Genomic DNA, 12335 nt, shown 5'->3' with positions numbered 1-12335 from the left:
GTCTCACTTTTCAGTTGTTTAGGATTAAAGGATACATTAGTGGAGGTGGCACCAGTTATACATTAATACACAGCTTACAGAGATGAGTGTGGTGGCTCATGCCTGTAATCCCAGCACTTTGGGAGGCCAGTCAAGAAGATCACTTGAGGCCAGGAGTTTGAGACCAGCCTGGACAACATAGCGAGACTCCCCATCTCTACAAAAAATAAAAAGCTGGACGTGGTGGTGTGCACCTTGTAGTCCCAACTACATGGGATGCTGAGGCAGGAGGGATCGCTTGAGCCTAGGAGTTTGTGGCTGCAGTGAGCTATGATAGCCACTGCACTCCAATCCTGGTTAGCTGAGCGAGACCCTATCTCTATTTAAAACACACACACACACACACACACACACACACACACACACACACACACACACCCCTACACCTCATAGCCATACATTTATGATCTCTTAGCAATTCGTATACCTGAATACAATCCAAATTGAGGGACAGGACCATATAAAATGGAACTAGTGTCCAACCAGGTAAAAATGTAATTAGTGAAATGTAACAAGTAAAACATAATTGCATTATGAAATGATTCATGAAAGCCAGTGTTTTATTACAATCTGTCATCTTAAAAATTACAGTTGCATGAAGCGGAAATAAGCTAAGTATTTTTGGTACCTTGGAAAAGTAGTAAGATTTCATGCTCAAAGCACATCAGAATGGCCTGAGCACTTCTGGTTTCTTAGAAATAACCTAATTACATACTCCTGGTGTTGCAGTCATAGGAAAAGGCTAACAGTGTTATTTGTTATTTCCAAAACCACTCTCAATCCTCTTGTAGTTTATTACCATAGACCTTAAATAGAGAATTTACATTTCTCAGAGGAGATGTTTGTGAAATGAATCCTGCTGTTTTATAGAGGGCTTCCTTGATAATTTGGGCCATACTGGGATTAACTTGTATATAGTGAGGATTGTTATGTCGAGCTGCTTTGATAAAGCACAGGGTTGTGAGTAATGTGGTGCAGAGTGTTTCAGCAGTGAAGCTGACAGCAAAGGCACAGACATTCTTATTGTGAAAGCATGAAGTTAAATATGCTGCCAAGCATTATCCCTTGACGTACAGAACCCAGCAGTTTTGAAAGTAGGGAAGGAGCAGTCCTGGGGAAATCTGGAGTAAGATTGCAGAGAAACTTTCAGGCCAACAGCAGAGCTTAAAATCTTCTCCTGTAAATCACTTGCAGACAAAGGAGGCAAACCAAGCCCCTGTGTTCTTTGCGGTTGTGTTTCAGCTGTGAGAAAAAGAAACAAGTCAAGCAAATAATCCCAAATACAGGTGGGATCTTATTAGGGTAAAATCCATTAGTGATAATTATAGTGCAAGAAGTAATAAAGCCAGTGCTGTTTCCAATACAGAAACACAAATACACTAAAAGTAAGGATCATGACACCGATGAAGTTTCCATCAACATTTAATTTATGTTAATTGCTAGCAGAAAGGCCTCCATTTACCATATTTAATGCCCTTGAAATAATTCATTCAGTTTGGTGTGTGGTGTTACTTTATAACTTAAAACAGCTGTGCCTCCACCTTTCCCCTCCAACTCACACTTTTCTTGGCCTAGATAAAAAATGTATTTGCGTTCAGAAAATTCAGGTAGGAAAGTCATTATGTGAACCCAAATAATAAGAGAAAAAGATAACCGTACCTTTAGAGTTGTATGCATCAGTTTGTTAAAAAGATGATTTGAATTCAGTATAATAGAGTTCTTTTTTTTTTTTAGACGGTGTCTTGCTCTGTTGCCCAGGCTGGAGTGTGGTGGCGTCATCTTGGCTCACTGCAACCTGGGCTCCTGGGTTCAAGTGATTCTCCTGCCTCAGCTTCCCATGTAGCTGCGATTACAGGCACGCAACACCACGCCTGGCTAATTTTTGTATTTTTAGCAGAGACGGGGTTTCACTATGTTGGCTAGGCTGGTCTCAAACTCCTGACCTCAAGTGATCTGCCTGCTTCGTTCGGCCTCCCAAGGTGCTGGGATTACAGGCGTGCGTCACCACGTCTGGCCGAGAGTTCTTATTGTTGCAGCTTTACCCCTTTCACTCCTACTGTTTTTTGTTTTTTGGTTTTTTTTTTGAGACGGAGTCTCGCTCTGTGGCCCAGGCTGGAGTGCAGTGGCGCAATCTCGGCTCACTGCAACTTCTGCCTCCCAGGTTCAAGCAATTCTCCTGCCTCAGCCTCCTGAGTAGCTGGGATTACAGGCACCCACCACCACGCCCGGCTAATTTTTTGTATTTTTAGTAGAGACGGGTTTCGTGTTAGCCAGGATGGACTCAATCTCCTGACCTTGTGATCCGCCCTCTTAGGCCTCCCAAAGTGCTGGGATTACAGGCGTGAGTTACCATGCCCAGCCACTCCTACTGTTTTGTCTGTTTAAGAGGGTTTTGCTCTGTTGTACAGTCTGGAGTGTGGTGGTGAGGTCAATGCTCACTGCAGCCTCGACCTTCCAGGCTCAAGCAATCCTCCTACCTCAGCCTCTGAAGTAGCTGGGACTACAGGCGTGCCACCACGTCTGGCCAGTTTTCAAAATTTTTTCTAGAGATGGCATCTCACTATGTTACCCAGGCTGGACTGGAACTTCCAGACTCAAGCGGCCTTAACCTCCAAAAGTGCTGGAATTATAAGTTCAAGCCACCACACCCAGCCTTAACTTTTAATTAAAGTAAAATTTACTTTAAAAGTGCACAATTTCTAAGCACACAGCATAGTGAATTTTTGCATATTAAACCCACCCATGTAACTAGCATGTTTGGGTATATTTTTAATTAAAATACTTTAAAATGGAAATTTCTGGAAAAAGTAAAAGACTCAAGGGTATTTTCTGTGTAAGGATATAATGTGTATGTCAAATGATATGTTTATTAGTCTTTTGCACATAAATTACTGAAAACTTACAAAAATTCCTGTAGAAAAAAACTAGGCCACTAGATTAATATTTCTTATGGGAGGAGCTGCTCTTTAAATATAGATTTAAGGAATTGGAAAGGTAAGTTTTTTGGTTATGAGTATCATATTTTGAGCATTGGATAGTTATTGGCATAAGTGATCATTTAAGTTTGCATTTAAATATGCAAAATATTTCTGTTCTGCGGAAGCCTGGGACTTGTTTTCTCTCTGGTTGCAGTGGGTTATAGGGGGAACATCTGCATGGTGTGGGTAGGTGGGGGTGTCGTCAGCTCACTGCACTCACTGTTCTTAATTATAGCACTCAGGATGGTGCCTATGAGTCCTGTGAGGGTGAGGTTCCAATTCAGTAACTCCCAGGGGAGGCCCATGGCCCCCTGGACCCCTTAGAATAGCAAAGCACTTTATCACATGGTGTCCCCTCTAGGAAGACTTATGTGAGAACTTTGTTTGGATGCGAGTGCTAGGAAAGGGTTCTGCTTTCCTTGAGAAACTGGCATGGGCTTTTTCTCTGTGGATGACCTGTATCCTGCCTGTCCACCCTCCCTCTGATCTGCTGAGGGGTGCCCAGTCTGTGGCTCAGCATTGATACATTTTCCTGGTCCTGAATATTGTGTCAGCTGTAATTTCCTAATCCTGATTAATCCAGTTCTTTCCCCCCACTTTATCATGTTTAAGTGATTTAAAACTTTAATGGAATGAGGTTAGGGAAGAAATGTAAACAAACAAACTGATAAACTGATTATATTAGATCAAATAAGGAAGGGCATAAAGAAGACAGCCAGTGGTCAGGATGTGCACTGAGAGGCAGCCTTCCTGAGAACAGTGTCCACACCAGCTGCTCAGTGAATCAGGGGCCATCTGCTTAATAAGAAAAGGGAGTGGGCCAGGCGCGGTGGCTCACACCTGTAATCCCAGCACTTTGGGAGGCCAAGGCGGGCAGATCATGAGGTCAGGAGGTCGAGACCATCCTGGCTAACATGGTGAAACCCTGTCTGTACTAAAAATACAAAAAATTAGCCGGGCATGGTGGCGGGCGCCTGTAGTCCCAGCTACTCTGGAGGCTGAGGCAGGAGAATGGTGTGAACCCAGGAGGCGGAGCTTGCAGTGAGCCCAGATCGTGCCACTGTACTCCAGCCTGGGCGACAGAGCGAGACTCTGCCTCAGAAAAAAAAAAAGGTGAACACATGCCTCAAGGGGGAAGTAGAATGTGATTGTTCTCTCAGTTTAATGTCTCTCTGGGCCTAATAATTTAAAAGGACTCAGATTCCTCAGATAAGAATTCTTTTCTCATTTCCATCCTCATAGGGGTTGCTTCTCCTTTCCCTCATGTCTGTGGGGCATGGAGTTTATCAGGGTCCCTCTCCCCTCCTCTCATTCCCTGGGCATCCATACATGGCTGCCCCCCACGTCCCTGGCAGCTGGCCAGCCTGACTCCCACCTTGGCTCTGCTGCAGCTCCTGGGGCCTCCCAGACCCTGGTCTTATCCTCCCCACATGCTCCCCTCTACAGAGGAGCTCTCTGCAGTGTCTCAGCCACACAGCATGGCCTCCCAGACAGCTCTTCCCGCTTGCTTACTTTGGGTCTCTCTGACATATGATTTCGTTGGTTGGAAGTATCACCACCTATCTGGATTCTAGTAGCTTCTGTGATTCCACTCAGATTCCTTTTTACACAGGCTCTTCCTGGTTCTTCCACCTGGATCGAGCTGTTCCTATTCAAACTTCCACAGCAAAGACATTTCTTTCTTTTTCTTTTTCTTTCTTTTTTTTTTTTTTTGAGACAAGGTCTGTCGCCGAGGCTGTAGTGCAGTGGCGCAATCTCGGCTCACTGTAGCCTTGACCTGGGCTCAAGCAATTCTCCGCCTCAACCTCCAAAGTAACTGAGACCACAGGCGCACATCACCATGTCTGGCTAATTTTTCTATTTTTTGTAGAGACGGGGTTTCACCATGTTGCCCACGGTGGTCTTGAACTCCTAGTCTGAAGCGATACGCCTGCCTCAGCCTCCCAAAGTACTGGGATTACTGGCGTGGGCCACCATGCCTGGTCAGAAATTTCTTTCTTTCTTTTTTTTTTTTTTGAGATGGAGTTTCGCTCTTATTGCCCAGGCTGGAATACAATGGAGCTATCTCGGCTTACTGCAACCTCTGCCTTCCGGATTCAAGTGATTCTCCTGCCTCAGCCTCCCAAGTAGCTGGGATTACAGGCATGCGCCACCACGCCCAGCTAATTTTGTATTTTTAGTAGAGATGGGATTTCACTATGTTGGTCAGGTTGGTCTCGAACTCCTGACCTCAGGGGATCCACTCACCCTCAGCTTCCTAAAGTGCTGGGATTACAGGTGTGAGCTGCCTTGCCTGGCCTCAGAAATTTATTTCTAACCCCAAGGATGCTCCATGCATTGGGCATTGTGTTGGCAGATTGTCATGTTCCCGTCTTGCTCTCCCTGTCTTAGGCAGTGTCTCTGGAGGCCTGGATCTTGGGAGTTTATCCCTCTGTGCCCACAAGGCCTCCCATGTTGCAGAGCATGTGCTCAATCAGTGCTTGCTCACCAGTGAAAGTTCTGTGTACTAGTCCAGCCAAAACCCTCACCTCAGTTGTCAGACACTGGAAAAGATGCTAACCAGAAATGCAGATCTCCTCGGGATATTTATTTGGCTTAATTCTAACAATATGCATCACCAAAAAAGCTATAGAGAAATGGTAACACTAATCTCCTAGCCCTTTGTCTTGGTGACAAGATCCTGCCACAGGATTCTTCATTGTACTAAAGATATTTTGCTAATGAAAAAGATAAAAGGAATTTAGATAACATGTACATTTCCTCTTTCTCACTTCCTCTTGAAAGGGAACCACCGTTTGGTGTTACTGAACACGCGTGCTGAAATATTAATAAGAGGAGAAGGAAGAAAGAAACACTTAAGTTTAGGAATGTCGGTCATGTAACAGGAAATTGTATTACAATGGCTTTTGGGTGTAGCAGTTCCTTGCCTTTTCCCCTTTTTTTTTCTTAGTGGCTTTCAAATTAAATTTGGCTCTTCCAGAAGGCACACCACATACCTTTTTAATGTAGGAATTTAAATTACTTTGACAAGACACAAGCAAAGCATACCCCTCTGTGTCATAATCCCCTCTCCCCTTAAGCCTTGCTCCTAGTTTTTGTTTTTGTTTTCTTGAGATGGAATCTCACTCTGTGCCTAGGCTGGAGTGCAGTGGGGTGATCTCAGCTCATTACAACCTCCGCCTCGCGGGTTCAAGCAATGCGCCATGCCTCAGCCTCCCGAGGAGCTGGGATTACAGGCATGCACCACCACGCCCGGCTAATTTTTTTGTATTTTTAATAGAGACGGGGTTTCTCCATGATGGTCAGGCTGGTCTAGAACTCCTGACCTCAGGTGATCCGCCCGCCTCGGCCACCTGGTAAGACTGCTGTTAACATGTTGGTATAAAACTGCACAACTTTTTTCTAATTACAAAAATAGATAAAGCTTTGCACAGTGGCAGTGTCATAGCCAATGAAGTTTGTCCAAGGTGCGATTATTGCTAATTGGAAACTTTCCAATACCCCACCATAACAACTTGAAATGTAGTCAGCACTGGCGATTTTTGACAGTCTCTACAGAGACTGAAAAGAAAGAGAGAGATAAAATAGGTGGGGTGCAGTGACTCACACCTGTAATCTCAACAGTCTGGTCGGCTGAGGCAGGAGGATTGCTTGAGCTTATAAGTTCAAGGCCAGCCTGGGCAACAGCAAGACCCTGTCTATTTTTTTAAATTAAAAAAAAAAGATGGAATTATATATTAAACTATATAATACATATACCACACACACACTTTTTGTGTAACAGAATTGAGGTCCTGTAGCCCATCAGATCACCCCAGTCAGTTCTCCTCGGAAGCACCTCATGCACTGGCCTCTCCTGCCCCCGGTACAGGCTCCACCTTTGCTCCTGGGATCTTGGTGGCTCCTGGTTGCCCCTTCTGCGTCTTTCTCCGGCCTTCCCTGCACAGTACCCTCCTCAGTCTGATTTGTTTTGTTTCGGTTTTTGAGACAGGGTCTTGCTTTGTCACCCAGACTGGAGTGTGGTGGCATGATCATGGCTTACTGCAGCCTCGACCTCCTGGGCTCAAGCGGTCCACCCAGGTAGCTGGGACTACAAACGTGGGCCACCGTGTCTAGCCCCCCTCATTCTGAAAAGGGAAGATTCTGTCATTTCCCTTCTGGAAACCTTTTCTCTGGCCTCAGGATGGTGCCTGGGAGTTGGCGGACAGGACCCACCTGTAGCTGCAGGATCCCAGCTGCTGGCAGGCCCACCCTGGCCCTACCCGCCCTGGTCCTGACCACCCTGGCCCTGCCCACTCTGCCTGTCTCTCAGGCTGCCCAGTGCTGGCCCTGCTGCGGGACCAGGCCCACTTCTCCCTCAGGGCTCATCTTTGGGTCTGTGATTCAGAAAAGCCTTTTCTGAGCCTCCAGTCAAAATTAGGTCCCTCGTTCTCTCCCGTGACACCATAATTTTCTCCCCCAGTGTTTATCAGAATCTGCTGTTAAGTAGTTTGTGCGTCTCCCTTTGTAGATTTTAAGGCCTGTGAGACAGTGGCTTTGTTCTAGTCGCCACTTTCTAAGACCCAGAACTGTGCAAGCTCTCAAAAACACCTAACAGAGAAGCACAGAGACAAGCATTACGTCATAAACATTTTCATTCCATTGAATAGTCTTTTAAAATATGATTTTTAAAATTATTATGATTTTTGAGATGGAGTCTTGCTGTGTTGCCCAGGCTGGAATGCAATGGCATGATCTGGCTTACTGCAACCTCCCCCTCTGGGGTTCAAGCGATTCTCCCCCGTCAGCCTCCTGAGTAGCTGGAATTACAGGCACCCACCGTCATGCCTGGCTAATTTTTGTATTTTTGTAGAGATGGGGTTTCACCATGTTGGCCAGGCTGGTCTAGAACTCCTGACCTCAGGTGATCCACATGCCTTGGCCTCCCGGAGTGCTGAGATTACAGGCCTGAGCCGCCACACCCGGTCCTAAAATATGATTTTTAACATTTGCATTGTATTCCATTGTTCAAATAGATGTCCCATAATTTATTGTAAAGAGCTGGTCATGAACATTCTTCTACACACCTTCTTATGGATATTACTGACTTCCTTAGAATACATTTTAGGAATGGAATTACTAGCGTAAATGTTGAGAGCATTTTTACCATTCTTATTTGTATTGCCAAGTGGGTTTTTAAAAATCATTCAATTGAATTTATACTTCCAACCCTGCTAACGATGAATATTATCACTACTACTACTAAAAACTAGAAGCAACTGTCAGTTTAATAGTTGGCTTTTTTGTTGTTGTTTTTTGTTGTTGTTGTTGTTGTTTTGAGACGGAGTTTTGCTCTGTCGCCCAGGCTGGAGTGCAGTGGTGCCATCTTGGCTCACTGTAACCTCCGTGTCCCAGGTTCAAGCAATTCTCCTGCTTCAGCCTCTTGAGTAGCTGGGATTACAGGCACGCGCCACCATGCCGGGCTAATTTTTGTATTTTTAGTAGAGACGGGGTTTCACCATGTTGGTGAGTCTGGTCTTGAACTCCTGACCTCGTGATCTGCCCACCTCGGCCTCCCAAAGTGCTGGGATTACAGGCGTGAGCCACCGCAAGGGCTGGGCTTTGTGTTCTTAATTGCAGTAATGGATGTGTGTGATAATAGAAAGTGGTAATAGTTCTCCACTTTTAAGTACTAGAAAGCTCTCATTTTGGCGGTGAGTAGGGAGGCTCTTATTAAGTGCCTGAGACTGGACCCACTTTCCTGTTAAAATGGGCTTTTGGCCAGGCACAGTGGCTCACACCTGTAATCCCAGCCCTTTGGGAGGTTGAGGTGGTTGGATCTTGTCAGGTCAGGAGTTTGATAATAGCCTGGCCAACATGATGAAACCCTGTCTCTACTAAAAATACAAAAATTAAGCCAGGTGCGGTGGCTCACGCCTGTAATCCCAGCACTTCGGGAGGCTGAGGGGGGTGGATCATCCGAGGTCGGGTGTTCGAGACCACTCTGGCCAACATGGTGAAACCCGTCTATTAAAAATACAAAAATTATCCAGGTGTGGTGTCACACGCTTGTAGTCCCAGCTACTCAGGAGGCTGAGGCACGAGAATCACTTGAACCTGGGAAGCAGAGGTTGCAGTGAGCCAAGATCGTGCCACTGCACTCCAGCCTGGGCGACAGAGCAAGACTCTGTTCCCCGAAAAAAGGGGAAGGGGGCTTTTGAGGAAATGCCTTTTCTCTGCTCCCTGAATGACTTACCTTTGTGAGTGGCGCAGGTCCTAGGTGGGCTCTAGGAATCACTGGCTACTTGCGTGCTGTGGTGTTGGTCCCTGCAGCCCTTTGGGAGCTGGGTCCCTCCACTGCGAGCAACCTGCTCTTCTATCCCAGTGTGCAGTACAGATATTAGCATTTTTTATGTGGGCTATAATGTGAAAAATATTGGAGATCATAAATATTGTTCACTTAATGCCTGTTGTGTCACACCAAACGTTTACTGCTGAGATTATTTGCTGTCATGTGGTTGTAGAGATCTAGGCGGGAACTCATGTACAGTCTAGATTGATGGTTTTTGTTGCCTGGAACCCCAATTTTGCCTGGCTTGATGGATGGGGCCCTGGGAGAGGGGCTCCGAGTTCTGGGTCTCCAGTCTGCATGCAATTCTGTGTGGGGGCTTCATTTAAACTGTTTCTGTCATTGCCAAACCATTTGTGGATGTAAATAGAGAAAACCAACAAGGATGTAAATAGGGGAAAAACCAACAAGGAAATAGAATGTTTTATGGCATTTAACAATGCTCTCTTTTAGAACTATTTTTACTAGGGTTATGATGAATTTCAAAATTAAAAAAAAAATGCCACATCCATTATCATAGTCACTACCCAGCTTCTCTTTATTTTGGCCTTAAAATTTACTTGCCAGAAATTCATAGCTCTTGAATTAAAGCCACATTCATCATGCAATTTTTTATATATTAGGTTTTACTCGTTTTAGATTTCTTTTCTTGCTTTTTTGTTTTGTTTTGGTTTTGTTTGGTTTGTTCTTGTCAATAGAGATGGAGTCTTGCTATGTTTCTCGGGCTGGTCTGAAACTCCTGGCCTCAAGTGATCCTCCCGCCCTGGCCTACCAAAGTGTTGGGATTACAGGCATGAACCACTGTGCTCAGCCCCATCTTAGATATATTTTGTAGTAGTGTATTTAGAGGGGAGATTTTTTTCATAGTTAAATTTTTACAATTTGTAATCTTCTATAATTGACTTATTTGTTAGCGGATGCCTTTTTTTTCCTAAGAGTTCTTGATGACTTTCCTGTACTGTGGGAAACGGCAGGAAATTCTTCTCCCCTCTGTATCCTCCCCCAGCAACGAGCCTAGCTGTGTAGGCTCGGCAGCGGCCCCAGGTGTCAGAAGCAGACAAGCACTAAATCAAGCTACTGGTAGCTGATCCCACTGCAGAGGCCTAACCCCCAGAGGCAGAGTAAGAAGGATGCTGAAGATGAGCAGGCTGTGGTGGCACGGCAGTCCACAGTGTCATCAGGAATAGGCACCTTCTCTCTCTATCTGCCACCCTTAGCAAGTGACTCCGTCTTGGCGTGCACCAGACGGCACCTCTGCAGTGGTGTTCCAGGTCTGAGCCAGGGAAGGACGTGCCGGCTCTGGCTCTGGCTCTTTTGTCAAGGAGCTTCCCCAACACCTCCCCGGTCAGGACCCAGTTACTTGGTCATGGGGGTTTAAGCAGCCTTGGAAATGTGTACTTCACCTGGGCACGTGGCCACCCCAATGCAACTGGGCACTGTCAGTAAGGAAGAAAGGGAAGCTGGACCTTGGTTAGAAAGCCATAGTGTAGCCATGTGTCACCTTGGCTGTGTCAACCAGGGCATACCATGCACCTTCTGAGCCTCAGGAGTCCTCATCCACACACTTGGGATGATAATTGCTCCTATGTTATGAGTTTTCCCGCTGACCAGAAAGAATGTAAAGTAACTGGCCCGTGGTTGGTATGCAGAGGTGGCAGTCTGACCACAATGCCATGTGTCATTAGTGCTCAGAAACTTGTAAAGTTGCTGGAGAGCTGGGCTTCCTGGTGCTGTGACGTGCTTTACTTAATAATAAGATCGTTGTCCTACCAGCCTGGGTGCGACTGGTCCCCTGTCCCACAGAAATCACATGGAGAAGATTTGCTCAAACTTGTGGAATGTGTGTGTCCTTGTGGTTTTGATATATATTTGGGTGGTTATGACATTAGAAGAATTATTAATCATGTAATAGAAATAAAGGTTGTTTTGTACAAAAGTAAATGATTAACAGTGACAAATTTCTCCAGCCAAGAAGTACACATTTAATGTAAATTGGAAGCAACTTCATTTGGCTTATAAAAGCTGTTAGTCAGCAGAGAGCTGTTGTAAAGCTAGTGGCATTTGGCATCTAGTAGGCCCAAGAATGTGGCCAAGTGTAGTGGAACAAATTGTACTCTGTGCCGTCTGTCAACCTTGGAGACGCTTACAAGAGCCTTCAGCGATACCGTGTGTGTCTGTCACCTTCTCCATGCCAAGTGGCTTAATTCAACTCTCCTGCTTTGGTGTTTCCACTATTTTTCTGGCATTTTAGGCTGGAACTGTTAGAGTAAGAAGCCCCACCCTGTGACTGGGTATTTCTGTATTGAACTCGGTGTGTTTGTTTCCAGTCTTCCCGTGCACATCTCTACCTCTCTGTCTGAGGTCACAGTAGAAAGAGAAACCAAGTCAGCAGGGACTCAGCTGACTCCTCCTTTCAGGATTTCCTTGGTAGTTTCCAAATTCTTTCCTCTACACCAGGAGCGTGTGTTCTCTCGCCCCTCTACCCCCTATTCTCTCCCATCCTCCCTGTTTCTCTTTCTTTCTCAACCAGGTCTGGTCTAACAAAGGTTCCTAGCTTACATTGTCTTTGGCTCTAGGCTCCACTTCCAGTCTTTCTGTTAATGAGTACTTTCTCCGGTGGCCTGCTATTTTTTTTTTTTCTCTTAAGTGTCTTTGCTGCTAACACCCTGCTCTACTATACCTGGATTCTCCCTGACCCAGTAATTCCCCGGGTGGACTTTTCCTGAATGGCAAGTGTCTTGGTAGCCACTGTCTTCACCATCCTCTTCCAATCTGATCTCCACTTATTTCTTGTACCGGCCCAGCCTTCCTGTTCTCATTGGGTCTGCCCTCTGCACCTCCCCTGCCACCAGGCTATGAGGTTTTCTCCCACACTGGGTTCGCTCATGCTGTCGCCCCCTGAAGTGCATTCCCCAGCCAGCCGTGGTCCACCCTTCGAGTCCCACTTCCACGACCCATCCTTGTGGCCTTCTACGGCCATTCATCCCAGT

At 45.8% G+C, this 12335-nt stretch overlaps 1 protein-coding gene and 1 pseudogene across 6 annotated transcripts in view, besides 3 other annotated features; both read left to right on the top strand.

Moving 5' to 3' along the window:
* The window catches only part of LATS2 (large tumor suppressor kinase 2), an 88551-nt gene that overhangs the window by 16480 nt on the left and 59736 nt on the right, over window positions 1–12335 (top strand). The window lies entirely within an intron of this gene.
* On the top strand, window positions 6440–6578 carry RNU4-9P (RNA, U4 small nuclear 9, pseudogene; annotated as a pseudogene).
* Window positions 6715–7703: an enhancer, noted in NCBI's record as "H3K27ac-H3K4me1 hESC enhancer chr13:21611543-21612531 (GRCh37/hg19 assembly coordinates)". NCBI's record gives its function as "activates a minimal SCP1, AML or CMV promoter by ChIP-STARR-seq in primed H9 embryonic stem cells {active_cell/tissue: H9 hESC(primed)}" and the evidence as "EXISTENCE:reporter gene assay evidence [ECO:0000049][PMID:30033119]".
* Window positions 8795–9619: an enhancer, noted in NCBI's record as "H3K27ac-H3K4me1 hESC enhancer chr13:21609627-21610451 (GRCh37/hg19 assembly coordinates)". NCBI's record gives its function as "activates a minimal SCP1, AML or CMV promoter by ChIP-STARR-seq in naive H9 embryonic stem cells {active_cell/tissue: H9 hESC(naive)}" and the evidence as "EXISTENCE:reporter gene assay evidence [ECO:0000049][PMID:30033119]".
* Window positions 10620–11120: an enhancer, noted in NCBI's record as "H3K4me1 hESC enhancer chr13:21608126-21608626 (GRCh37/hg19 assembly coordinates)". NCBI's record gives its function as "activates a minimal SCP1, AML or CMV promoter by ChIP-STARR-seq in naive H9 embryonic stem cells {active_cell/tissue: H9 hESC(naive)}" and the evidence as "EXISTENCE:reporter gene assay evidence [ECO:0000049][PMID:30033119]".

The sequence above is a fragment of the Homo sapiens genome, chromosome 13 (genome assembly GCF_000001405.40).
Source record: "Homo sapiens chromosome 13, GRCh38.p14 Primary Assembly".
Classification (NCBI taxonomy): Eukaryota; Metazoa; Chordata; class Mammalia; order Primates; family Hominidae; genus Homo; species Homo sapiens.
Note: the sequence above shows the minus strand (reverse complement) of the source record. Positions and strands in the feature narration are given on the sequence as shown.